This window comes from Homo sapiens, chromosome 14 (assembly GCF_000001405.40).
Source record: "Homo sapiens chromosome 14, GRCh38.p14 Primary Assembly".
In the NCBI taxonomy this organism is placed as follows: domain Eukaryota; kingdom Metazoa; phylum Chordata; class Mammalia; order Primates; family Hominidae; genus Homo; species Homo sapiens.
In genome coordinates this window covers 77089302-77117288 of record NC_000014.9, presented here as the reverse complement: position 1 = coordinate 77117288, position 27987 = coordinate 77089302, and the positions used below count along the sequence as shown (strand labels likewise).

At 43.3% G+C, this 27987-nt stretch overlaps 1 protein-coding gene and 1 long non-coding RNA gene across 2 annotated transcripts, besides 5 other annotated features; one reads left to right on the top strand and one right to left on the bottom strand.

Annotated features, from left to right (window-relative positions):
- Position 1: 1 nt before the first annotated feature.
- CIPC (CLOCK interacting pacemaker) lies at positions 2–19031 on the bottom strand. Its single transcript, NM_033426.3, has 4 exons — positions 18928–19031; positions 11445–11632; positions 7308–7477; positions 2–3864 (listed from the first exon to the last, which is right to left on the bottom strand). Exons 2-4 carry the CDS (start codon positions 11578–11580, stop codon positions 2971–2973), a joined length of 1200 nt encoding a protein of 399 aa, NP_219494.2. The 5' UTR covers positions 11581–11632; positions 18928–19031; the 3' UTR covers positions 2–2970.
- Positions 16097–16146: an enhancer, noted in NCBI's record as "active region_8791". NCBI's record gives its function as "activates an Ori minimal core promoter by ATAC-STARR-seq in GM12878 lymphoblastoid cells {active_cell/tissue: GM12878}" and the evidence as "EXISTENCE:reporter gene assay evidence [ECO:0000049][PMID:35858748]".
- Positions 18261–18420: an enhancer, noted in NCBI's record as "active region_8790". NCBI's record gives its function as "activates an Ori minimal core promoter by ATAC-STARR-seq in GM12878 lymphoblastoid cells {active_cell/tissue: GM12878}" and the evidence as "EXISTENCE:reporter gene assay evidence [ECO:0000049][PMID:35858748]".
- Positions 18560–19389: an enhancer, noted in NCBI's record as "H3K27ac-H3K4me1 hESC enhancer chr14:77564243-77565072 (GRCh37/hg19 assembly coordinates)". NCBI's record gives its function as "activates a minimal SCP1, AML or CMV promoter by ChIP-STARR-seq in primed H9 embryonic stem cells {active_cell/tissue: H9 hESC(primed)}" and the evidence as "EXISTENCE:reporter gene assay evidence [ECO:0000049][PMID:30033119]".
- LOC124903350 (uncharacterized) lies at positions 19271–20824 on the top strand. Its single transcript, XR_007064275.1, has 2 exons — positions 19271–19413; positions 20389–20824. It is a non-coding gene; the product is annotated as an uncharacterized LOC124903350 (long non-coding RNA).
- Positions 19421–19570: a silencer, noted in NCBI's record as "silent region_5966". NCBI's record gives its function as "represses an Ori minimal core promoter by ATAC-STARR-seq in GM12878 lymphoblastoid cells {active_cell/tissue: GM12878}" and the evidence as "EXISTENCE:reporter gene assay evidence [ECO:0000049][PMID:35858748]".
- Positions 19751–19800: an enhancer, noted in NCBI's record as "active region_8789". NCBI's record gives its function as "activates an Ori minimal core promoter by ATAC-STARR-seq in GM12878 lymphoblastoid cells {active_cell/tissue: GM12878}" and the evidence as "EXISTENCE:reporter gene assay evidence [ECO:0000049][PMID:35858748]".
- Positions 20825–27987: the final 7163 nt, after the last annotated feature.

The following is a 27987-nucleotide window of genomic DNA, read 5'->3' as shown; positions in this document are numbered from 1 at the left end:
ATAGGTTTCAAGTAAGTGACTTTTATTTTTCTCTGACATTTCACAGTCAATTTCTGCAAAACTTCATACTTTCTCAAAAGAATTCACATTTGCTAAATAAATTTCTACCCTAAAGAATTCATAGCTGAAAAACCACTTCAATATATGCACAAAAGTTACTTTTCTGCTAAAGGAACCATAGTAGAAAATAAAAAGTCAGACAATACTATAATCAATAAAAACCAATGAGTGTAATAAATTACAAATGTCATTAAATTCCATTCCCATAACCATTGCAATCAGCAACTTTTCTATATATATTTCAATAATGCCAACAAAATCTGCCAAAAGTTCTCTTAAGGGTTGCTCTGAGCTAAAAATGGCTTCTCACCTTCAGAAAACAGCAGCTCTGCCACAGTACTTCATAGCCAATTACGTTATTCATCGCTAAAACCATCACTACTTACAGCCTTGGGCAACCGATGGAGATCTTTCTGGTCACCTCCGAGGTTCCTCCATTTGCTGATCTGGCTTCTGGACTCAATGGATCTCTCCTTCCAAGATCTATCTTCTCTACTTGGGTTCATCTGCTTACAGCTCCAACAGAGAACAAATGCCCATGGTAATAGCCTGGAGAGACTTCTAGCACTAAGTTACAAGATTAGAAAAGAGCTGAGAGTGGTGCTGCTTCTCCCTGCCACTCAGCAGTGAGGATTGATAGTGGCTTTCATCATCTTTTACTGAAACAGGGAGGGAAATGCAAGCCTTAATCTAGGAAGAAGAGTCCAAGAGGCTTATAGCTCCACAGAGGGTTTTTCCAATGGAATAAATTTGGTTCTCAGCAAGTGTTTTCAGATTTTTGACACAGTAAGACTCATGACTGGTGCCCAGGATGTTCTGAATGCACCTGTCTCTATAGCTTTGCTGCCAAACATATTCTGCCAAAAAGGAAGCTTCCTAGCATGGTGCACAGAGTAGAGCTGCTATAGTACCACACAGATTCAGGGGAAGCAAAGAGAGTGGGCCAAGAGAAAAATATTAAAAGGAGCTGAATCTGCCTAAAGACACATTTGCTCTGATTTCTGAAATTCTTTCAGAAAGCAAACAGCAGGTAATAATTCTGCGTTCATGAGTGGAGTCTAGGGATGTTACCAAGTTGTTCACTTCTACATCAGTCATATCTAAATCACACGTTTGTGAACAAAGTATAGGCAATCTGAAGCCACATACTTTTTAAACTATGTTAGAGTTACAACTACCTAGGAAATGTCATATTTAACTTCTGGTCTTGGTAAAACTTTTCTTTGCAGACAGGGTGAAGCTGAGCTGAGCGTGGTGGCTCAGGCCTGTAAGCCCAGCACTTTGGGAGGCTGAGGCAGGCGGATCAACTGAGGTCAGGAGTTCGAGACCAGCCTGGCCAACACGGTAAAACCCCATTTCTACTAAAAATACAAAAATTAGCTGGGCATGGTGGCAGGCACCTGTAATCCCAGCTACTTGGGAGGCTGTGGCAGGAGAATCACTTGAACCCAGGAGGCGGAGGTTGCAGTGAGCCGAGATCCCACCATTGTACTCCGCCTGGGCAACAAGAGCGAAACTCCATCTCAAAAAAAAAAAAAAGGAAGATGAAGCTGACCATATAGAACTTATTAAGATAATTTTGTAAAGAACAAAGATTTTCAAGAGGATGAAATTTTAAATTGAGAGAATATTTTGAAACTTTACTATTTAGAAACATAGTTGCCTATTTAATGAAGCTGAAAAGAACGTGTATCATCTGGAAACTCTGGTCATGGTCTCCATTTTGAGATGAACTTCATATAACCAACATTACACCTCTGGCTTTGTTGCCAATATCTAACACATGAAGGAAACACAGAAGACGCTGCTCTGTAACTGCTTCCCATCACTATGACATGGAACAAATAAAAATTTGGGATGTGAAGAAAATGGGTAAGATGCTTTCCAATTTTTTGTGGACTTATCATACCCTCAAGACAACTGTATTTAATTCAAAGTTTATCAAGCATAATAATCACTTATCAAAATAAAGGAAAAAAAAAAAAAACAAGATGGCAGCAGAGTTAACTTATACTACATCCCAGGAACCACTGAAACTATCCTTAAGATTTTTAGACATAAAACAGGTTACACTGTTTCAAAAGAAGAGAGAAAAAAAGCCTAAGTTACCAGAATCGTCCAGCTCCTGACCATGAGATATGCCGGCTATGTCTATTTTCTTCAGCTTCTAAGTCAAAAAAGCAATTCATCGACTACAATTCCAGATGTACTGCATTCATTCCATACCTTAAAATTTGGAAGTACTGTTTTTGCCTGCTAGTTTAAGAAAAATCTGACTTGTAATGAAAGTGTAGGAGTCAGATGGTACTACTCTTTCCCTTGATTTTCAAGTGTAAGAAAACAAAGCGTTGAGTGATTAAGTGCTCACACCCAGGTGCAACCTGTGCCCAGGGAATTTTAGGTCTCGCCCAACTAGTACGATGCCTTGTGGGATGCAAACAACCTCCTCTTATTTCTCTCTGTGACTAAGACAGGCAAGGGAAGATCCATGAAGGTTTCCTTGTGTCACCTACTCCCTGGCTCAACAGGTGTTGCTCTGTATGCTCATTCGTGTTACTGTACCCTTGATCCTGGTGAGAGAGTGGGATGATGGGAGGTGACAGCAGGAAGAGCCCCACACAATCATCTCCTGCTTTGCCCCATGATCCATTGAAGCACCTGCAGGCTAAGGAAAAGGGGCTCAAGGGCACTCCCAAACTGAGGTCCTCAGTGGGACGGGGACATATGTATCCTGTGCCCAGACTACGAGTTAAGACAGCAGCCAGGTATTGGCACGTGGCTTCCTAAGTGAACCACAACACAGTTTAAGTTTAGAAGGAAAAGCTCTTACATAAGCTTTGGGAAACAGGAGTAGGTAACAGCAAATGAGCTAAAAGAACCACTCAAGTAACAGGAAAATATGCCTCTGTGCTATATGGCTGGGTGATCAGAGAATGCTTCTAGGTCACTGCCTGTATTACTGGACCCAGGTGTTAAAGATGCCTGCAGCTTGGCCCAAGCCTGAGGGGCCCTGCTCTTGGTGGCTTCTATAAACAGCTGGGTTTGCTCCTTTAGCTGGTCTAGTTCTACCTGAGTTGCCTGATTCTGACGAATCAACTCCTTGGTTTTCAAAGTGATCTCCAGCAAACCAGATTTATGTAGGACTACTAGGGTATTCTGAAAGCGCCTATGTTTGCTCTGCCGCTGCTCTGAAAAGATATCTGGGCTGCGGCAGAGGTGCTCTGCAGCCCATAAAGGTGAGCTATAATTAGCGGACAGTGGTGAAAGGGGAGAGTTGCTCTCTAACCCATGGAGAGTGCTGTCTGATGCGCAGACAGGACTGGCGGGGGAAGCGAAGGTCAGACTGGGAGCTTTAGCCACGTGACTGCTGGATACCGGCTGAAGAGTCTGTGGACTTCCACCTGCCACCAGAGAGGGCACACCCTGCAGAGCTGAGTCCTCGGCAAGTTTGGCGCTGGGTGGTGCTGGCGTCGAGGGACTGGATGGGACAGCACCAGCCTTGGTTGGCTCACTGGAAGACAAGCTAGGCCCAAGTCTCTCAGTACAGATTTTCTTCTGCACTCCACTTGTTCCTTTTTCTTCTGGGCCAAGGGAAAGGCCCCTTTTGCCTGGATGTGGGGCTATTTTGGTGTAAGAATTCAGAATGGGCAAGTAGTTCCTGGAGTCGGACTTTTTCTCACCAGTGTGACATGGACTGACAGGAGATGGTACAGGTGGATGAAGGAATAAGAGCTGTGGCTGTGCTGAGATCACTTCAAAGGAGGGCTGGACAGTCCACGACTGGAGCTGGGATGAGCTGCTGCCCTGAAGACAAAGGAGGAGAGCAGCACACTACTCATTACTGCTGAAAGGATAGAGGAGTGAAGCTTCTGTCAAAGGGGCAAGTGGATACTCAAATGCTTAGAACAATTTCAAGGACAGTGCTTCTCTCACATAGTGGTTTGAACATCTATTTGTGTCTGATATCACAAATACTTTTTAAACTTTTTCTAAGGGAAAACTGGAGGAAATACCTATTTTTATTCAAGTGCTATCACTCAGAAAAATAAATGGGTAGGTAAAGTAATGACATAGCTAAGGTCACAACTGAAACAACAAAAATATGGATTTCCTGGTGTAAGTTAAAATGTGACTTTACACCAAAGTGTATCTTCATTTAGTCACACCTGGAACCTCTTTTACCTGAAAATAACTTTTGATTAAAAAGTAACATATTGGGCCAGGTGTGATGGCTCATGCCTGTAATCCCAGTATTTTGGGAGGCTGAGGGAGGTGGATCACCTGAGGTCAGGAGTTCGAGACCAGCCTGGCCAACGTGTGAAACCCCGTCTCTACTAAAAAATACAAAAAATTAGCTGGGCTTGGTGGTGTGCGCCTGTAGTCCCAGCTACTTGGGAGGCTGAGGCAGGAGAATCGCTTGAACCTGGGAGGTGGAGGTTGCAGTAAGCTGAGATTGCGCCACTGCACTCCAGCCTGAGTGACAGAGCAAGACTTGGTTTCAAAAACAACAACAACAACAAAAAAAAACAGAAAGAAAAGAAAAAAACCCATATTGTCAGGAGTCTATGGGTTCCTGTTTTTAAGGCAGTGACATCCAACAATCATAAAACCATTCAAAATAATAACAGCTACCATGTATTGGTGCTGATTATAGGTTACCACTATGTGTAATGTTTTACATGAGTTACTTAATCTATTTAAAACCCCATGAGGCAGTTACCATTTCCCTTCATAAACAGGGAACTGAGGCTTAGAAAGTCGAAAAAACTTGTTTTAAGTCATCAAGTTACTAAGTGATGCAGTTAGGATTCCATCCTCTGTCTGACTCTAAAACCCATCTGAGCCATTCTGCTATACTGCCTTTGTTTATTACTCCTCAATTATACATTATTTTTTAATTAAAGTATTGATTCAGACGAAATCTAATAAAGAAGGACATGGCTACTTGTCTCCAATGTTTGAAAGCCAATCCAGTTCCAACCTGGTCCCCAAAATCTGAGTATAGATAAAGCCAGGCAGAGGGCAAGCCTGACAGAGTTTCACATCATCAGTGGGGTCAGGTGGGGTCATTTGATTTATCTGAAGAACATTACGAACTGTCTTCCCATACATGTACATGCGCGCACCATTTTGCACACATTTCAGTTTCTTGGATGCAAGGTTAGGAACTTTAGGCCAGTTCATTTCCCATGCAAAGGCTGGAACGATCTAGAGTCCTCTTGATGTTCAAATATACTCCGGAATATACTAAGGCAAGCAATGCTAGGGCCAGAAACCATATTTCCTTGTCATAGGAGATCCAAAATCAAGAGGTCTTTTGAAGTAGAAATCAGCCTGTTCCAGCTCAGTCAGAAGCAAAACTTCATGCCCTCTCTAGGGATGACCTACAAGGCAAATGGATCTGGAAAATATCTAATGCATTGTTTTCCCATGATTTTACTGGACTGTACTTCCTAATGCTACTGTTATGCCCACTCTCCTAACAGATACTTAGCTGACTTGTTCCAATTATTAGATTTTACAAATTGTATTATTCATGTGGAAATCACCTGAGGGAATACAGAACAAAATTTTAGACTTGGACAGGATCTCAGAATCATTTCACATAAACCCTTCATATTAAAGATGAAGAAACTGATATCCATTGTGGTTAATTATGTACAAGATCACACTGTCTAATGACAGAGGTGGAATCAGACTCTCAAAAGAAAAATATCTAAAACCAAGCAGCCATAATCAAGACATTACACAACATGCAGAGTTTTAAATGTGTATCATTATTTTAATTTTAGAATACGCTAGATTCTAGTATGTTTTTAAAAAACGAAACAAAACTCCTAGACTACTCCCTTAGGTCAGCTTGTCCCCAAGTCTCTTAGCTCCTGATCAGGCCCAGCAGCTTTTCTGGCGGGTCTTTGTCTTAAAGAATGTGGCTCTGCTGGAAAAGCCTACTCACTCCGTAACTGTGTGTGTGGGCTGTTCTCAGCCTTCTGGAGCTGCCAGCCTAGCCTACAACAAAGAAGGGATATAAACACAGACACAAGAAAGGGACAAGGAAGCCAGAGAGGAAGGCAGGGAGAAAAAGAACTGGGAGAAAGGAAGCCCAGGAGAAGCACTGGCAGCACTGGTGGGGCCGGAGCAATCTCATGTGGGCTCCGTTTCCTGTCTCTATTCTTTCTTTTCCTTTCAATAAGGAGAGCCATGCTTCCAGCTGAGATGTGATTTACCAAGCAAAAATCTTCAAATTCCTTTTCAGAACTCACCAGTCTGCCTTGTTGAAAATCAGTTTGTGTTCCTCATATACAACTAGGTAATAGCTAAGACATTAAGATTTCCTGTCAAGTTAAAGCCATGTTCTCACCTTTTACCCTAAGGGGGGAAAAGTCAACTACTCAAGCCAGATTTAAAATTTCACTATCTTCAAGTAGCCTCATCAATGGACCCATATGAAAACTGATATATTTTCAGAGGAAAGTACGGTAAGATTAAATTTCTTTGGCTGAAATCAATCTTTTCTATTCTCAGACTTCTCTATTCTAACTTAACCAAGTTCATATGATCAAGTTCTCAGTTTCAAACACTAGAGCTTAACTTAGATTTTCATCTAAATCTTTTCTTTCATATCTAAACAATAATCATATAATAAACATAGTTATGTAATAAAGCCCCAAACAGGATGTGTTTCCACTCCACAACACTGTGTGGATTCTGCTGGTATTCCCATACTTGAACCAGGAGCAGCTTCGTCACTAATGACAGGCTCTGGCTGACTACTAAGAAAATGCTCAGTATATGACATAAGAAACAGGGAAATTGCCTCTACTTCTGAGATAAATGCATTCTACATTCCTAAATTCCCAGGGCAATCCATATTAAAAAGAGCATCTTTTGTTTCTACCCTAAACTCTGCCATATGTTAGAATGCACCATTGAAGTGATGCCATTTCTGCTTGGTTCCTTTATATACATTTCAGGGTCTCTTTGGACAAACTATGAATACAGAAATAAAACAACCTAACTGTCTGAAAAATGAGAACGCATGTCATGATTCTTATATTCCTTTTTAAAACAGTGTCACACTTGAAAGATAACATCCGCTCCCCAGGACAGAAAGTACACATTGGTGTGGTTCTAATGGTCTGTTTCTAAAATCTCTCCTTGGCAGAGAATATAAATCTCTTCCTTTATACACGGAAGCTAAGAGATTTTTATTTGCAAAGACTTTAGGTGATATTAGTCCTCCTCACCTGTTTGACAAGCACATTCTTCATGACGACCATGGGAGACAGGGTAGGGAAGGCATTCTTTGCAGTTTTGGAGTTCTGCCTCGGCCTGTCTTCTCTGCTCCAGCCTAAGGCGCTCAGCATGTCCTCGGACTCCATCTGCTCTGCAGAGCTCAGACATTCCGAGCTCCCATCTGGTGGGCAGAAGAATGGTCAACTCACTCAGGCTCTAGACTAGGGGCTCTTAACCAGGCTCCTAAGGAGCTACAGACCTCTTGAAATTGAATGCAACACTTGTGATGTGTTTTTGTGAATTTTATTGAGAAGGAGGCTTTTAGCTTTCATTGGCTTTTCAATGGGATCTATAATTAATCCCTCCTCCACCAAAGATTAAGAATTATTGCCCTAGGACGAGTTTGACTTCCTTTCTAACTCTCTTACAGACAAAAACCTGCCTCAATTAGGGCTCACATGAAAGTAATCATCATCAGTCTACAGGAGAAATGAGTTCAAGGTTTCAAAGTTAGTTTATTACTTTCGAGAATCTATGTTGAGAAAGGAGACGAGTATGGCCCAAGGTAGGATTAAGACCTTCAGAGGCTCTGGGTACCACAAGATGTAATTACAATTAAAAAAACAAAACCAATCTGTAAACCTCAAAACAATTGCATTTTCTCCAGCTTAAGGAAGACTGTATGACTGGAAGGATATACATCAATGGAAATATGATTTAGAATCTCCAGTGATACTTTTAAAAAACCATAAATGTTGGGATCCTTCCCTTGATCTACTGAAGTGATTTACCTGGTTCCATGGTAGGTGTATTTCACAAAACACAAGTAATCCAAATGTACACCTCTAGTTAAGAACCATTAGACTGAAAACAAATGAGCCCAGAAGCAATGTACATATTGAGTGCCCAGATCTTGGTTTCTAAATGCCATTCTGCACATAAAGGAAATGAGGGGTCCTTGGAGAAACAGCTGATTCCAAGACTTTGACAGGGAAGATACGAGATGAGCCTGGACAGCTGCTTGTCCCAGAAAGCAAAGAAGTGCTCAAACACTAACAGAGACATGTCAACGAGACACAAGAGCTATCTTGAGGGGACTCCTGCTGGTCAAATTTGAGACAATTTGAGTATCAGAAATGATGATTTTAACAGGTTGACAAACTGAATTACAAAAGAATTCCATGACTACATTAGTGATACTCAAAAGAAGAGGGAGGAGGGAAAGCACTTTTTACAGAAGAATGTCAGCTAATGACGTACAAAGAATGGTAAAATTAGAAGATCACCCCCTTTTTTTTTTTGAGACAGAGTTTCGCTCTTGTTGCCCAGGCTGTAGTGCAATGGCATGATCTTAGCTCACCACAACCTCTGCCTCCCGGGTTCAAGCGGTTCTCCTGCCTCAGCCTCCCGAGCAGCTGGGATTACAGGAATGCACCATCACGCCTGGCTGATTTTGTATTTTTATTAAAGACAGGGTTTCTCCATGTTGGTCAGGCTGGTCTCGAATTCCTGACCTCAGGTAATCCACCTGCCTCGGCCTCCCAAAGTGCTGAGATTACAGGTGTGAGGCAACGCGCCCGGCCAAGATCACCACTTTTAAACCGCCAATGTAATGATTCAGGCAAAGATCATCAATGGATGCTAACTCTGGTAAACAGTTTGTTGGGGAATAGGATAGTCACACAATTATAAAGTATTATCCCATAAATTACTTATTAATTACAAAGAGAAAAGGGTACTTTAATGGTAAAGAAATCTGTACACACTATCTTAGCCAAGTGATCAACCAACCAGAGCATCACCAAGAGTAAGACTAACTTATGAGTCTCCAAATGTGTTGCAATGGGAAGGATACAACATCAACAACATAGTATTCTGGTCAAGATGCTAATCCTGACCCTAATAATGGGGACACTACCAGAAAATCCAGAGTGTGAGACATTCTACAAAGCAACAGGCCTGACTCATTCAAAGATGTCAATGTCATAAAGAAAGAAGAAAGAAAAAAAGGAAAGAAAAGATAGGGGAGTGGTTATAAACTAAACCAGACTAAAGGACAGGACAACTAAATGCAATGCTCAATCTTCAGTTGGATTCTGGATCCAAAACAGACAAAAAGACAAACAGCTATAAAGGACATTATTGGGACAATGGGGGAAAATCTGAATATGGAGTGTAGCTAATGATAAGTATCAGTGTTAAATTTCTTAGGTATGATAATGATATTATAACTACATAGAAGAATGTCCTTGTTTTTAGGAAATCTGTACTGAAGCTACATGGGGTAAAATGTCAAGTGTTTGCAATTTACTTTCAAATAATTCAGAGAGAGAGTGTGTGTGTGTGTGTGTGTGTGTGTGTGTGTAAAGAGAGCGAGAGAGAGAAAGCATATATGGCAAAAAGATAGACATATGGGGTATTCATTTGCTTTTGTATAGATTTGAAATTTTTTGAACTACAAATGTGGTAATTAAAATGGGAAAAATTGTCTTGATTTTGCAAATTTCATCCTACTCCAAGGTAACTGGAATAACTCAGGCAGTGAGGAAATCACTGGCACCTGGCCCAAGAGTGGCTCGAAGCATTCCAGTGGCATTCACTGGGGCTACTTTCTGGGGCATAATGAGTTTGATTATTTTAATACCACCTTATATCTGAGTAGTACAATATTCTTAAAACAACTGGCCTGACAAAGTTGAAGTTGTTAGAAGTGTCAAAATGTCAACAGTACTGGAAATAATAGATGGTAAGATTATGGATAATGTTTTTCTTCTTCATGCTTTCCTACCTGTCCAAGCTTTTACAATGAGCACGTATTCATGAAATGAAACATAAACAAAAAGCAAACGTGATATTAAAAGAAAAAAAGAGGCACTAGGCCTCCAGTGTTTCCCAAACCTGTCTGATCATACAACAGAAACACTTGTTTTTTAAAAGAACCCACATTCCAGGCCCTGTCCAGACCCTTGAAAGAGTCTCCAGGAGGGAGATCTGGTGATCAATATTTTTAACAAATGCCTCAGGTGAGCCTTATGATGAGGCAGGCTTAGGAAACAATGCTGAGAGAGAGAAGAAAAATCCAAAGGGAAGGTTGGCCCGCCCTTCCCTGGACTGTCCTGGCCCTGGGCAGGGCAACTAATTCCTTTTAATCTAATCCCTTGGTTGGCGCTCTGTTCCTCTTTGAGCAACGGTCTATTTATAATTTGCCTTTTCAAGCAGCATGCCTACAGGGAGAAAATATGCCAATCTAAAGACAAGAGAGTTCTAGTTTTCCTAACAGCTGCATTTCTCACTATAAGTTAATAAATCAAAATTGATTGATTTGTCTTTGTGAGTCTGGATAATATAAATCTTCTCCTTGAGAGGGTTCTACTCTCAGGATGTTGACTTGACCAGAATCCCTCAGCATCACCCCTCTGCATCCCCGCGCCAAAAATCACACTAGCGCCATATTCAAGCCACTACCCTCAGAGCGGGAAATAAAAAAAGAGCCCCAGCACAAAATTGAATGATTCAATATATATGCAGCTAGCCCTTTTGGGTAAGGTTTAAGAAAAACTTGTAAGGAAAACTGTTCTATTTTCTTATCTCTAATAGATACTCAAGTTTAGAGCTAGGCCAGGTGGCTCACAGTCCAAATACAAAATGCATAGAGACTGGGGGGAGGGGTTGTTGGAGGCGTACATTTCTAAACACAGCGAAACTACTTTCTCAATGAAAAAGTTACCTTACAAATTATATACAGTATTACTTTTATTTAACTGGCAGTCTTCCAATTTGTTACATGGAAACTACATGCAGTAGCAATTTTTCCCCTACAATGTAATAATTCCTGTGAAAAAGGAAGTAAAACAACAGAATTATGAGTATTTAAATATTTTTTCCAGTGACCAATTGCAATAGTTGGAAGTGTAAGATTCAGAGTCTAAGTTGAAAAAAGATGTTAAATAATTCTTTCAGAACTAACCCTGTGGTGACTTTGATGGGTACCCTGACATATGGCATCAGAATTACCATTTTAAAGCAGGTAAGTATTTATCCTGTGTGTGAAAGCATCCCATCCTTATCACATAAATGAGTTTTGGGGAGGAAATTTTTCACGCAAAGCATTCACTCACAAAACAGAGGAAGGATAAGATATTTTTAACCTGAAAAGCCAGAGTCCTTGTCTGACTCAGCAGCAGCCATCCCAAGCTGACGAGCCACTTTCTTCATCTCTGTGCCTTTGCCTACTTTGGCAGAGAGTCTTCTGGGGCTCTCTCTGGATGGGTTTTTCCTCTCCATGGTTTATTCAGCTGGAGGCAGATTCATTGGTACTCTTTTCATCTGGACTGCCCTATGAAAAACAATTATATAAGAAGTCACTGCCTGGAGAGCTGAAACAGGTGATCCAAACAGTGAATAAAGTATGGGCAAAGAACACTGGCCTCACCCACTTCAGCTTTATTTTCTCAGAGGTTTCAACTGACAAAAGCTTCAAGTTTACTAAACAGAATGGTTTCCACCCATAAGGAGATTCACAGTCCTCTGGCTGCCCTCTAATTCCATTACAAATTCAAGGCACACAAACCACATTCAGCATTCGCTTTGTAAACTGCTAACAAAGGCACATTTGATTAGGCTTTTTCCAATGGGTAACGAAATGAACTCACCAGAGGGGAGAGGGGACAGGGGAGTGAAGAGAAGGGAAAAGGAAGACAGGAGAAGAGAGAGGGCAGAAGGAGGGGGAGAGGGGAAAGGGGAGAGGAGAAAAGAGACACCGCAAGGCTTGCTTTCCTCGTGTACATTTGCAGGCTCATGACCTATTGCCACCTCCCACAGTGTTGTGTTTCTCAAATTAACCTCTAAATCCTTTGGCTGAGGTATTGAACAGAGAGCAAAAACAACTCCCTATACATGCATGCTACTTTTAGGCTTAAAAAACACTTTTATGGGCAAATAAAATCATATATAATAAAGAGCTTATAATATGCGTTGCTATTAGTGTTATCTCACTTGAGCCTCACAATGTCATCTTCAGTTGCTATCTCACTTTACAGGGGAGGAAACTGAGGCTCAGATAAGTTACATTCAATCATTTAAAAATATTTATCAAATGCCATTGTAAATCAGGCATTGTGCAAGGACTGGGGATATAGAATGAACAGAATAGGCATCTGTCGCTTCCTTCTTGTAGCTTATGATCTAGAGAGAGACAGTCATTAATCAAGTAATCACTCAACTAGCGACCATTTTGATAAGAGCTATAAATGGGAGAGGCTAACAGTCTGGGGGACTGAGGAAGTGCACCATAGCTGGGATCTGGAGGATTGGGAATTAGTAGGAGTTAGGCGAAAGGCATGTTCCAGGCAGTGTGAAGGCCCTAAGGGAGCAAGGGGCTTGGCACAAACAAAGAACTGAAAGGCCAGGGAGGCCAGAGCACAGTGTAGAAGGGTACAATGCCATGCACTGATGCCAGACTGGTAGTCAGGGAACAGACAGGCAATACCTTGGAATCCATGTTGGAAGGATTTTAGATATTAACTTAAACGCAATGGGAAGCCATGGAAGAATTTTAACCAGAAGTGTGACATGATCAGATGTGCATTTTATTTATCTTATTTTTTGAGACAGTGTCTCACTCTGTCACCCAGGCTGCAGTGCAGTGGCGTGATCATGGCTCGCTGCAGCCTCAACTGCCCAGATGGAAGCGATCCTCCCCTCAGCCTATGGAGTAGCTGGGACAACAGGCATGTAGCACCACACCTGGCTAATTTTTTGTTTTTTGTAGAGACAGGATCTCACTTTGTTGCCTCAGCTGGTCGTGAACTCTTAGGCTCAAACAATCCTTCCACCACGGGCTTGGCTCTGGGCCTTGGCTTGGCTTGGCATCCCAAAGTGCTGGGATTACAAGTGTACACCAGCTTTGCATTTTAAAAGCATTCTGGATGCTGAACTGAGGCTAAAGTGGAGAAGGGCAAGAGTGGCATTGAGATCATTTAGTTGCTACCGTGACAGTCCAGGTGAATTAAGGTGGTGGCAGTAGAGATGGGAAGAAGAAAAACATGGAGGCCCACCTGATGGGACTGGGTAGGGGGAAGATGGTGGTACCACTTTCTCAGCTAGGGAGCCCAAGAAGTGCACAGAAGGGAGTTGGGTGGGTGGGGCAGGGTGGCATGGTCATGTAGATTTGGTCATGTAGAGACTGAAGTTACTGTGGGTCATCTAAGTGGAGATCCTGGGTAGGCAGTCACATGTAAGACTGAAGCCCAGGAGAGAGGCCTATATTTGCTCCAGTGATAAACAGCTAGTCCACAGCAGATCCAGACCTAGATCAACAGTGCCAAGAATAAGACCAATTGGCCCTTCAAATTGCTGGCTGAGAATAAGAACATTCCAGATATTTTAACATGGCCATTTGAGTCACCAAGGAATGGCAACTGTAAGGCCAGCATGATAATAACACAAGGAATACCACTGGCATAAGGAGAACAGGCCAACAGGGAACATGACAATAATGAAACTGGGAAGATGCAAGCAAAGCCTTGTGATGTTTTAATTCACGATGCACTCCTGACTCTATCCTGTTGTTCTTTGAGTGAAGAAAAACACAAGCCCCCTGCCAAATACCACTGTATCTGGAATACCCTGGAGTGCCAAGTCTGGACATTCCTGCTAATATAAGATCTAGTGAAGAACATTAACTACCCTAGAAGCAGTTCAAAATAAAATTAAATAGAAGACAAGGATGCTTATAAGCAACCCTCTTGCTCGTACTTTTGCATACTGTAGGAGCAGACTAAAGGGAACACAAACTGAACTGAATGAGAATGAATTTTAAACACAATTCCAAGTAAAAATCATTTTGCCCCGTATCTAACTCATTTAAGGGGACTGGCTTCCTCATTCAACTGACATCAAATCAAGCACTCTTCCACAGGTCACACGTTTAATCCTATGTGCATAAAAGATAAACAGTGGCACTGTCACAACTTGCAGAGAACTATGCAAAAGCAATGTCTATCTGACAGCTATGAAATTTGACAGCATGGACGGCCCAGCTTAAAAAGTAGACTAAAGTGTAAAACTATATCTCTAATTAAATTGGATCCTTTTGTATGAAATTCAACAAATGTGCATAGTATAATTTTCCTAAAATAATACTGTCCAAAAGTGAATAGAAGCCATCTCCAAAATGGAAGTAGATGAGGCTTGTGGATGGGCATTCAAACTAATTCATGTCGGACCAGGCTGTTGATTTAGATTAGGAGGGTAGCTCATGTTAGTTGCAACTAATTAAGAACCTTACTTAGGTTCTTAGGTTCTTGAAGTTTCACATTATCTTACTAAACATGGATTATTTTACAGGTACTTTAGATAATGCATCCCAATTTAGTCTTCTACAATCCTTGCGGCAAAACAATGAAAAAGGTCTTGCTATTATTATTAAAGTGTAGTCAATAGAGCTACAGAAAATACACAGGAATTTATTCTGGCTTATTGAGAATTTGTAGGATAAGAGATAATTGATCATGGAGTCAAAATACTGAAACACTGACAATCGGTTTTTGAGGCTCAGAAAATAATACTCCCAAGTATGGCACTTTAGCATAATGAGCACTTTGTTGTTGCTTTTTGTTTTTTTCTGAGACTGTGTCTTGCTCTGTCGCCCAGGCTGGAGTGCAAGGCCACAAACACAGCTCACTGCAGCCTCGACTTCCTGGCCATAAAGAAATTATCTGACCTGTCTTGTCCGATAGCAGATCATAAAACCCTCATTCCAGAATGGGTCCTGCCCTATAACAGAGAGGAAGGAATGCTACACAGAGGTCAAGAATAATTCTGGACAGACAGACCTTGCTGGGTTTCCCACCTCAGTCCATTACTATTAGATCATACTCTTTTTGTTTTTGTTTTGTTTTTTATTTATAGATGGATCACACGCTGTTGCTCAGGCTAGAGCGCAGTGGCACGATCACAGCTAACTGCAGACTCGACCTCCTGGGCTAAAGTGATCCTCCTGCCCTAGCCTCCTGAGTAGCTGGGACTCCAGGCGCATACCACCACACCCAGCTAATTTTTAAATTTTTTGTAGAGACTGGGTCTTGCTATGTTGCCCAAGCTGGTCTCAACCTCCTGGACTCAAGCAATCCTCCCACCTCAGCCTCCCAAAGTGCTGGGATTACAGGCATAAGCCACCATGCCCAGCCAGATCATACCCTTTTTGTCCAATCATATTTCTACACAGCCGTCCATTCTTCATCAAACCTAACCATAAAAATAGACAGTTTTCCCTGAGTTTGGGAGGCTTCACTTCTGAAGACTCCTGTGTCATAAAAAAAACTTTGATTAAATAAAACTGTTATGTTTTTCTCTTGTTAACCTGTCTTTTGTTATGGGAGGGTCAACTATGACCCTTATGGTAGGTGAGGAAAGGTATCACAGAGGTAAGTTAAAAAGAGAACAGATGCTAAATTTAGATCCTGGGGAGTTGGTGGCAGTTGGAAATAAAGAATGTAAAATCGACTTTAGGATGGCAAATTGACTATTTTTCATATGAAAATGATTAAAAATATGAAAGCCTCTATCTTCAGTAAAGTTCTCTTAAGCAGCAAAAAGCCTTAGCATTGCAGCCAGGGAGGCTCACATGGGATGTAGAACAAAGGGCTACATCCCTCCCCAAACTTTACTCTTTCGGAGGAGTAGCAGCACTGCCCTCCTGGGAGTGGCTGAGGGACCCACTCACACATAGCACCACATAAAGCCTCACTTACTACTGGTGCTCTCAACCCCAAAATTTGCAAGGCAAAGTCTGAAAACCTCGGGAAGTTGCTTGATTTTTTTCCTCTTAGATATTAGTTTACAATAAAGTTACATGCTCACACTGACTAGGAGTTGAAAATGGATTACTAAGCTCTTACCCACTGTGTTCTTTCTGCTTCCTGCTTCCTGGCATAGACTGGAAATCACTCACGCTGCTTTACAAACACATGTACCTTATTCTGCATTAAAAGGGCTAATTTAGGCTCCAAAACTGTCAGAATTTACCCTAATTGGGCCTCTTATGCATGTATATGTAACACATTGTCCAAAAGTTTCCCAGAGAGGATAGTACACACTAAAACTCATAATGGAAAGTGAATCAGGCCGGGTGTGGTGGCTCACACCTATAATCCCAGCACTTTGGGAGGCAGAGGTGGATGGATCACCTGAGGTCAGGAGTTCGAGACCAGCCTGGCCAACATGGTGAAACCCTGTCTCTACTAAAAATACAAAAATTAGCTGGGTGTGGTGGCACACATCTGTAATCCTAGCTACTTGGGAGGGTGAGGCAGGAGAATCCCTTGAACCTGGGATGTGGAGTTGCAGTGAGCCGAGATGTTGCCACTGCCCTCCAGCCTGGGTGAAGAGTGAGACTCCGTCAAAAGAAAAAAAAAAAAGAAGAGAAAAGAAAAGAAAAGAGAGAATCAGAGCCAGGCAAGGTGGCTCACGTCTATAATCCCAGCAGCACTTTGAGGCACAGGCGGGCAGATCACCTGAGGTCAGGAGTTGGAGACCAGCCTGGCCAATATGGTGAAACCCTGTCTCTACTAAAAACACAAAAATTAGCTGGGCTTGGGGATGTGTGCCTGTAATCCCAGCTTCTCAAGAGGCTGAGGCACGAGAATAGCTTGAACCTGGGAGGCAGAGATTGTAGTAAGCCGAAATTGTGCCTCTGCACTCCAGCCTGGGTGACAGAGTGAGACTCCGTCTCAAAAAAAAAAAAAAAAAAAGAAAGAAAGAAAGTGAATCAATAAATATATAAGTTTATATAAGGGGACAAAATTCAAAATCCTAGCAAGTGCTCCAAAGCATTTAGCTCTTACTACTCTTTTTGCACTTCTGACATTAGTCTAATTATTTGTCTCCTCAACCTCGAGTTGTTTTTTTCATCTTTGCAACCTCAGCCCCCAACAATTAACATGAGGCATTCAATAGAGTAATAAATTCCAACAAATCTCTGACCTGCTGAGTCTCTGACAGCTCTAGTAGCTTAGCAGTCACAGAAATACCTGAACAGCTTGAAGGTCAAGATTCTGCATTTCCAAACACCACGGTCACCTTAAGATCTAACCTCCACGTCTGGTCCCCTGCAGGAAACAGATATTTGATCTACCCCTTATTCTAAGTTGAAACGTCAGGGACAAATCCACCATCCAAATTAAGGGTTGATCTAATCCACAAACAATCTTTGTGAAGATTTGTCCTTATGATTAAAAAGGAGATCCAGGGTTACAAGAAAAGGATCTGAAATGCTGCTTTCAGATCTCTCCTTTTATAGACACTTGGCAACATTCCTGGAAGCTCAAGTTCCCTTTAAAATGTGTCACGTGTATAACATGTGTGCCTGGACAGAAGTGTGAGGTAAAAGCCCAACCAGAGGCTTAAATACAATAAAGTGATAAGGTCACAGAAAGAAAACCTTGAGTAATCCCCGTTAGAATTATAAATACATTACTAGCTTTTCTCCGAAGTCATTTTCTTTTGGCCTGCATATTCAGGGATACCATTCTGGGAGAATGTCTGGGTATCTTAACAGTGGAAAAACCCTGTCTACCTAAATGTCTAATATTCATCTTCCCTTCCACATTCATTCCATTTCTCCAACTTGGCTGAAAATTCGTGTCAAAGATCCTGAACCCCAATTCCATACAATTTCCTATGTTTTAGACCAGTTTGGCTCTATTTTCACCTTTCAAAGGGGAGATGAGCTTAGAGAACTTTCTCCGATCCCCTGCTGCAATTAGTTCACAGTAACAGTGCCCACCTACCCATTCGCACCAGCCCACGTTGCATCTGTGCCAGGCAGCATGTGCACCCTCCAGGCATCCACCAGCCTGCCAGCTCAGCAGGGCAAAACTGGGCAGACCCTAGTACTGTGCTGTGACTGGCATACCACCAGCCTTCCAGGGCAAACGCCCAGGCAATGCATACTGCCAGGACTTGAGCAATAACAGGGAGCCTAGCTCCAGCCTGTGACCTGGGCCGGGATCAGAGCTCCCCCGAACCCACCCACTAACCACTTAACTCCTTACTTGGCACTGCCCACCTTCTCCCCAGAAACACTACCCCCGACACCAAGCCTGGCAAGCTGGCCACTCAGGGGAAACAACCAGCAACGAGGGTGACGGCAGGTCTCTGGAAAAGGCAGCACACCTGTGCCCTGGAGCCAGAACAGGGTACCACCCCCGACCTCAAACCGGAAGCCCAGGACCCTCGCCCAGTTACTAGTTCTGGCGCCCACTCACCTGCCCATTGCTTGGCCCTCAGCTCCCAGCCGGGCTGGACTCCAAGCTCTCTCCCCGCCCAGCCGGCTGGCGGTTGCGCCCAGGGCTAGACCAGGGCCCACCTGCCCCTCACACAAGCCTCCTCCCCACACGCAGCCCCCTCCTCACCCGCGATTCCCTCTCCCACGCCCCTCACAGCAAACCAAAGCCCTGCTCCCACCATTTGGCTCTCCGTCCTCCGAAAGTCCCGGTTTGCCCCTCTTGCCTACTCGCTCCTCTTCCTCTCTCCCCTACTTCCACCTCCTTTCCCCACGCTCCTCGCCCAATCCCTCTCCCGCCGTCATCCCTGCTCCCCTCCTCCCGGACCGAGCCCTCCCTTTCTCACCTAGGGCCGGGGTCGCAGCTCCACGACCGGCCTGTGGGTCAGGTGGCGCATGCGCGAGCACGGCCCCGCGGCACCATGACAACCTCGTCGTCGCTGGGTGTCTCGCTATCCCCACAGCCTCCCGCCCATTTCTCCTCCCCACGCCTCCGCGACGGCTTTCGCCAGCCACGTGACCCGACTCGGATGACCCGGCACCATGGAGACCGCACGCTGTTCTCCTAGAAGGGCCCTTGGAAATGCGCCCTTTCCCCGCCCCCGCCGGAAGACCAGGCCGGCGCGGGGCGGGGCCAGCGCTCAGAGGCCTACGCTCTGTCCGCGGCCGGCGGGCGTCTCTATGGTTGGTTCCTCAGGCCTCGCCGCCATTTTGTACGGGGGCCTTGAGCAATGAGCGGCTTGGGCAAGGTTTCCAGGCGGGGTTCAGAGGAGCCGGGGGTGGGGCCGGCTTGGAGTCGATACAGAGAGAGGAGCGACTCTCGCACTGTCTTGGTGCGTGCCGCCGTGCCGCCGTGCCGCCGTTGGGGGTGGGGGCCGGGGCGAGTCGTGTCCGGCCTGTGCGCGTGCCGGGAGCGACAGTGCCCGGCGTGGGAGAGCGGGCGTGCGGGCGGCCTCAGCCTGGAGTCGCCGTGACAGGGGTGCCAGACCTCCCCGCGTGCTCCTCGCATTTTCTCTACGCCTGTCGCCCTGTTTGTTTTTTGTTCCCGTCCACCCTCGAGACCGTGCTTCACGAGGTCGAGGCGCGATGAGTTATTTTAAGTAGATGATTTCATGACCTTTGATGTTTGACTGACTTTGTCATGTGCTATGGGTTTTATATGGATGCTGTTTCTTGGTGAAGGTTCACGGTGAACACACGTGTGTAACAGCTAAAGAAAAAAAGGGCTTGGGATCAGTTGACGTTCTGATGCCTTGAATCAGTGAAGGTTACTTAGAAAAAGAATTATTTCGCTAGTGAAAAAGAGGACATGGGCGAGTTTAAAGAGTTGACGGGTCGAGGCAGATTCAAGAGCTGAGCTGTCCAGTAAGATGGTCACTAACGACTGGATAAGTTTCTCAGTTGTACTAGCCACATTTCAGGAGCTCAGTGACCTCTTTATTGGACAGTGCAGATTATATATAGCCCATTCCCAGCATCGCAGAAAGTTATATTGGACAGTGCTGATTTAGATAGTGGGGAATTGTTTTATACTGGTCATCCAGGCCTTTGTAAGTGCTGCTAGGTCGTGGTTAATCACGTTAGTCCTCTAGACACAGGTAATTCTAATGTATTACTGGGTATGGGTGTACTTGTTAGTAGTCAGCTTTACCAACAAGTAATATGCCTACACCATGTAAGGCTTTTGTTTTGGGGACAGAGTGAAAGCAATAGTTAACAATTACCAAGTAATTAGGAGCCGGGCCGCTTTATATGCATCCTTTTATGATTCCTTACAAGTTTATGACGCAGGTGGTATTTTTTTCCAGTTGTGTGGCGTTTTTGCCCATTAGGACTCAACTAAAAACCCATGGCTTTGGCCAGGCACAGTGGCTGACGCCTGTAATCCCAGCACTTTGGGAGGCCGAGGCGGGCGGATCACCTGAGGTCAGGAGTTCAAGATCAGCCTGGGCAACACGGTGAAACCCCGTCTCTACTAAAAATACAAAATTAGCTGGGCGTGGTGGCACATGCCTGTAATCCTCGGGAGGCTGAGGCAGGATAATCGCTTGAACCTGGGAGGCGGAGGATGCGGTGAGCCGAGATCGTGCCATTGCACTCCAGCCTGGGCAACAAATCTCCGTCTCACCAAAACAAACAAACGAAAACCGTGGCTTTTATCCATGAAGCTATTAATATATTGCCTTCTTTTGAAGTGGAATAAAACAATCTGCCTTCAGATAACTTAAAATCTGATATGGGAAATAAGACGCGCTGTAATAAATAATATGAAAGAGAATGGGATAAGTACCAGAAGATTGTGAACAAAACCTAATTAATAAAATAAAGGGAGAAAAAAAAACTTTGTTTTTTTTTGGTTGTTGGAGTAGGAAGAGATCAGTAGGTAAATCTTTAAGGATAGCTAAAAGTTGGATTTGCAGTAATGGAAGTGGGTGAGAGTACGACGCACACAAAGCAAAAAAAGAATCAATGAAATAAGCAAAAGCATGAGGTGTGGTCCTATCTTAGTTTTCCGAAGGGGCAAATAAATAAACTATGAGAGGAATGAATTAATGGCATTTGCAGCAACCTGGATGAGATTGGAGACTTATATTCTAAGTGAAGTAACTAAGGAATAGAAACCCAAACATCGTATGTTCTCACTCATAAGTGGGAGTTAAGCTATGAGGATGTAAAGGCATAAGGATGATACAGTGGACTTTGGGGACTCAAGGGGAAAGGGTGGGAAGGGGGTGAGGGATAAAAGACTACAAATTGGGTGCAGTGTATACTGCTCAGGTGATGGGTTCACCAAAATCTCACAAATCACCGCTTAAGAACTTACTCATATAACCAAAATGCCACCTGTTCCCCAAAAACCTATGGAAATAAAAAATTTAAAAAACAGCAGCATGGATACTAGGCTTAATACCTGGGTAACGAAATCATCTGTACAACAAACCGCCATGACACAAGTTTACCTATGTAACGAATCTGCACACGTATCCCTGAACTTAAATAAAAAACAAAACAAAAATAAAATTCAAAAAAAAAAAGAATAAAAGTCTGCCTTCAAATAACTTACAATCTGATATGGGAAATAAGACATGATGTAATAAGCAATATGAAAGAGAATGGGATAACTACCAAAAGATTCTGAACAAAACAATAACATTAAGGGAGAAAAAAAAAACTTTCTTTTTCGGTTGTTGGAGTAGAAAGAGACCAGCAGGTAAAGCTTTAAAGACAGCTTGAAAGTTGGGTTTGCAATAATGGAAGCAGGTGAGGGGATAATGCATACCAAGCAAAAAAGAATCAGTGAAATATGCGAAAGCATGAGGCCCTCTTAGTCCTCCGAAGGGGCAAATAAACCAAACTTCCTTGACTTTACCTACATCTTGAGCAGACAGCCATGCTGTACCAATAACTTAAGCTTCAGACAAGTATTGTAATGGAACCAAATGAATCAAGACTAATGATAGGCATAATTTTTATGATTATTTTATGCTATGATTCTATATAATTAGATATACAGAATAAGCAATTCATGAAGATTGATAGTGAATATTTTTATGTAGCTAAACCACCGTAAACGTTTTTCTTCCTTTCCTATTAATTTACCAAGATTTGTAAATCAGCATCTATTGATAGTTTACTGGTGCCACGAATTCTTTAACCTTCACTCACTTTACTCTCTTTACTCTTGGTTGGAGTAAGGACCCTATGATGGATGGGGTAAGGACCCTGTGATGGATAGTGGGTTCTGAAGCACCTATTCTTCTTGCTGTAGGGTCCTTTCCAATTCAAGTTCTCCCCAGTACCATTGTGGTCTAGGTTCGGTTTCCTACCACCACAACCAGCAGGGGGAGACATGCGCCCTTAAATCCTACATTTAGGGACTTGCGAATGTTTCTTTTTTTTTCCCATCTACTTCTTGAAATTGTAACCTGCCTATCCGTGTGAGGATTTGAGTTTTTAACCCTGCCTAGGATACCATGAAGAGTCAGCCATGGGCCGAGTTTTATTTGAAGATATTTTAAGTGTATTATGTTATACAATTTAAAATATTTATAAACGATTGTTTAATAATTGTTGAATTTAAAATTAAAGTCATTTAAAAATATTTAAAAGTGGGCCAGGCGCAGTGGCTCACACCTGTAATCCCAGCACTTTGGGAGGCCAAGGCGGGCAGATCACTAGGTCAGGAGTTCAAGACCAGCCTGGCCAACGTGGTGAAACCCCGTCTCTACTGAAAATACAAAAATTAGCTGGGCATGGTGGCATGCGCCTTTAATCCCAGCCACTCAGGGGGCTGAGGCAGGAGAATTGCTTGAATCCAGGAGGCGGAGGCTGCAGTGAGCTGAAATTGTGCCACTGCACTCCAGCCTGGGTGACAGAGCGAGACTCCGTCTCAAAAAAAAAAAAAAAAAAAATTTAGAAGTAATTAAAATAGTGTAATAGGAGACGGTGAAAGTCAGTGATCTAGTTTCAAATTCCAGCTCCTATCAATATCATTTTACAAAAGAAGGGTCATTTTGATATCTTTTCCGTATACACAGAAGGGAAGATAGGACATAACCTCACAATTTAAAAATAGAATAATTTCGGGTGTATGAAAAACTTAAAGCTTTTAGTCTTATTTTTCCAGTTTGGCTGAAGACTGGTGAAAACATCACCACAAGGACTGGCAACAGTTCTTGGACTGGTGTTTGGGAACCATTGATTTCATTTTCCTGAACCTCAGTTTGGCCGTCTGTAAAATAGTTATCCTGTAGTTTGAATCTAGCATCTAGCATTATTGGTGCTGATCACTTCATAAGTCTTTAAATAGGATTTGATGGAGTGGTAAGTGTGTCTCATGGGTCAGTGAGAGAAGAGAGGGGCTCCAGCCTGTGTGGGCAGGGGGATCTACAGGTGCCAGATGGCAGAGGCAGAGGCCAGTGATAGTGGGATGTATGACCTTTTTTCCCTTAGCAGTCAGGTAACAAGGCCCTCACCAGCCAGACTGGTTCTTGGCTCATATTTTAGGGAAGTATTTGGCAGAGCAGGTACACTAAAAGGGTAATATTCAGGTTATGGTCAGGCTGTTCATATACAGGTGAAGGTTTTGATTTTAGAGACAGTGTAAACCCTTCCCACATAGCCCTCTGTCTTCTTGCTGATACTTGAAATTCCTTTAAGGAATTGCTTGACACCAAGATACTCTAGAACCCAAGACAAATTCTTCCATAACAACACGTAGTGCTTATTATTTGCCAGATGCTGTCCTAAGTGATTTGCCTACATTTATTCATTTAATCCTCCCACTGTCTATGAGATGGGTGTAGTATCATTATTTTCTTTTTACAGAGCAGGAGGCTCAGATATGGAGGCCCACGTCACTTGCCAAGGTCACCCGTGGTAAGTGGTAGAGCCAGGATTTGAATTCCAGAGTCCTTGCCACTTTGCTTGACAGCCTCCATGTTAAAGTGGAAATGGGTAATATCTCAGCCTTTCCTGCTATGCTAAGGAGGAGGCCAGTGGGGAGCTAGAAGCACTATGAGGAATAAAAATAAAATCTTAAGCCCTTCAGCTAACTGGAATGACCCCCTCTTGGCCAAGCAGTCCCCAGAGAAACCCTGAAAACTGAATGTCTGGCCGTGATGGGGAGAGAGGTCAGACACGCCTTAGTATGCCCCTTCCTTATTAATCTTTAACCAGAATTATTTCCTAAAGAGTAGGCAGAAACCAGCTTTAGAAAACAAGAAATGGACACCCCATTCCTTTATCCCTATTAGCCAGTCACCTGAGGTAGTGACTGCACTCCCCCACCCTCTTTACAGTTTCAGGGTGACAGCTTGCCAGTTTCACAAAGCATCCCTTCCTAAAAACTGACCACCATTGCTGGACTAGTTTTGGCTGACTCATGGAGGATGTGCAGCGAGGATTTTTGTGTCCTCTGCTTCACCTTTTGATGTCAGAGTAAAACTGCCTTTGCAAAGATTATGACGGTAAGAGAAGTCTAACATGGCTGACTCCATCTTGGTTTTGCCTCATAGGCTGGCTGTCCTCACTCATTCCTGGGTGTAGGCCAAGCTAACCATGGGAGGCATTTAGTTTATAATTTAACTTTGAAGCAAGAATGATAATAGGCCCTCCATGAAACTAACCCCCTCTTTGCTAGAAGGGGGTTACTGAAACCACTTTTGTGAAAGTAATGAAAAGGGACCGAAACCACTTTGGTAAAAGTAATGAAAAACCACAAGATTGGGATTATGGGATGGACCTGAATTCTGCTAAAATATATGTATAATTAAATGATAACAAGCCATGGCTGGGCGTGGTGACTCATGCCTGTAATCCCAGCACTTTGGGAGGCCGAGGTGGGCAGATCACCTGAGGTCGGGAGTTCGAGACCAGCCTGACCAAATGGAGAAACCCTGTCTCTAATAAAAATACAAAAATTAGCCGGGCATGGTGGCGCATGCCTGTGATCCCAGCTACTCAGGAGGCCGAGGCAGGAAAATCACTTGAACCCAGGAGGCGGAGGTTGCGATGAGCTGAGATAGCGCCATTGCACTCCAGCCTGGGCAACAAGAGCGAAACTCAGTTTCAAAAAGAAAATAAAAATAAAAATGATAACCAGCCATTGTTTCAGAAGTCACAAAATTTGTAACTTCCCCAAATGCTCCTATAGGTAATCACTATTTTAGAACCTAAGATTGGTCTTTTGAGATGTTTTTCAGACTTTTGCATTCTGGCAACTCATTGACTTCAATCGGATCTGTGACTCAGGAATCAACCAGTCCTGTGGGCCCCCTACCCAGAACTCAGCACACAAGGACTAATTTTCCACACCCCTATGATTTCTGCCCCAACCAGTCAGCAGCACCCATTCCCTAGCCCCCTGCCCACCAAATTATCCATAATATTATTGCCTCTCAGTTCTCAGGAAAACTGATTTGAGTAATAAACTCCCATCTTCTGCTTAGCTAACCCTGCAATAATTAAACTCTTTCTCTACTGCAATACTGCTGTCTCAGTGAATTGGTTTTATCTGTGCAGTAGGTAAGAAGAACCTGTTGGGCAGTTACAAGAGGGCCAAAAACTCTACTCTTGGACCATGCTAACACCACTACTTTTTTTGAATATAGGACTCAGGAAGAAATGTGAAGCTCAATTGCATATATGGTTGTTTCTCCTTTCATAAATATTCATGATTCCTGTAGCTGACTGAATATTATATATTTGGCCATGCAGCTAAGCATAAATTTCTGTTTGCTTTAGCCTTCCCTTGAAGTGATTGCTCTTAGCTTCTTCTGAAGGTTACACTTCCCAGCCTGTGGGCCTGCAGGCTGCAACCTTTTATGAGAAATAAAGCTCTCCCTTCCAGATTTATGAAATTCATGATTCTTTAGTTGACAATTAGGTAACAGGCACTTGTGTGGAAAGGAGGATGCCACGAATGGGGGCTGGGCACTGTAAAAGCATACTACAGAAAATGCCTCCAGCTGGTCATCTTTTTCTCTGTACATCATAGAGATAATTGAGGTGTGTGTGTGAGTGTGTGTGTGTGTATGTGTGTGTGTGTTGTATGCTGATTTCAACCCACATACCTGCCCAAACTATTCAGAAGCTGCCTTGTACCTGTTAGACCCTCATCCTGAATCTTTTTAGTGGAAAGACTTTTAAAGTATTTCCCCCAAAAGAGCATAAGGAACTTCACCCTAAAATATGGCTCCTAGATATAATGAGTATTTTGAGTTAAAAGCCCTTAGAGATCAACAGATGTTGGAAAAGACTTTTCCCTTATCTACATAAAGATTGGATAGACCCTACAAGGAGAACAATTGTTTCCCAGCCCCTGCCCCTTATTATCTATTTTCTTTTCGTTTATTTTTTGAGACATTGTCTTGCTCTGCCACCCAGGCTGGAGAGCAGTGGCATGATCTCAGCTCACTGCAACCTCTGCCTCCTGGGTTCAAGCAATTCTTCTGCCTCAGCCTCCCGAGTAGCTGATATTACAGGTGTGTGTCGCCACATCCAGCTAATTTTTGTTTTTTGTATTTTTAGTAAAGACGGGGTTTTACCATGTTGGTCAGGCTGGTCTTGAACTCCTGACCTCAAATGATTACCTACCTCAGCCTCCCAAAGTGCTAGGATTACAAGCGTGAGCCACCTTGAATTTTTTTTTTTTTTTTTTTTTTTTTTTTTTTTTTTTTTGAGACAGAGTTTCACTCTGCCACTTAGGCTGGAGTGCAGTGATGTGATCTTGGCTCACTGCAACCTCCATCTTCCTGGGTTCAAGCAATTCTCATGCCTCAGCCCCCTGAGTAGCTGGGATTACAGGCATGCACCACCACACCTAGCTAATTTTTGTATTTTTAGTAGAGACGGGGTTTCATCATATTGGCCAGCCTGGTCTCAATCTCCTGGCCTCAAGAGATCTGCCTGCCTCAGCCTCCCAAAGTGCTGGGATTACAGGCATGAGCCACCGTGCCTGGCTTCCTCCTCTTATTATCTATTGCAGAAAAGACCAAGAATGTAACCACACCTGAACAGACTCTTTCACAAGATGATGTCTCTCTTGCAGACTCACTCAGACAACCATTTAGAAATTAATCTCTGTTCCTCAATCCATTCATTCTCCCTAGCAACCATTTATTGCCAATCAACAGAATTACCTGTATTCCCTATCTCCCCCCTCCACCTGAAATAAGGCTATATGGACCCCATTGGGCAGTGGGGTAAGCACTCTGTGGTTCTCCCTGTTTGCACATTAATACATTTGTACGCCCTTTCTCTAATCTTCTTTTGTGAGCTGATTTTTTTGGCAAACTTTCAGAGGTCGAAGGGGAAGGTTTCTCTTTGCCCCTATACTCCTTCCCCAACTAAATACGAAGTCGTCTATTTATTGAGATGAGAGTCTCTTTGTCACCCAGGCTGGAGTGCAGTGGCATGACCTGGGCAATAGTGCAGCCTTGACCTGGGCTCAAGCAATCCTCCTGCCTCAGCCTCGCAAGTAGCTGGGACTACAGGTGCATGCTGCCACACCCAGCTAATTATTTTTTAAAGATGGGGCCCTCCTATGTTGCCTAGGCTGGTCTTGAATTCCTGGCCTCAAATGATCCTCTCGCCTTAACCTCCCAAGTAGCTGGGATTACAGGCACAAACTACCATGCCCGGCTTTGAAGTCTTTGATTTAAACTCACACCTTCTCTCTCTCTAGGCCACCCAGAAAGCTGTTCACTTGCCCCTTTGTGTGGAAGCATTTGATTTTTGGCTTGGAGGTTTGCCTTGGCTTCATATCTTGCCTCATAGGTTTACCTCCCTTCTGTCAACAGCCTTTGGATCCCAGTTGAGTTCACCAGCATGGGATTAACAAAAGACAGGGAACACAGACCACCACAGCAGAAAGCCCAATGGAATTGGAGCTCTTTAGTGGAACT

Bases quoted from the DNA above. Each gene is read 5' to 3' on its own strand.
- CIPC (NM_033426.3), bottom strand. From the start codon at position 11,580: ATGGAGAGGAAAAACCCATCCAGAGAGAGCCCCAGAAGACTCTCTGCC. The intron at 7,478-11,444 runs GTTAAAAATATC...TCTGCCCACCAG, and splicing joins CAAGGACTCTGGCTTTTCAG to ATGGGAGCTCGGAATGTCTG. The intron at 3,865-7,307 runs GTGAGGAGGACT...CTTTGTCTTCAG, and splicing joins AGAATGTGCTTGTCAAACAG to GGCAGCAGCTCATCCCAGCT.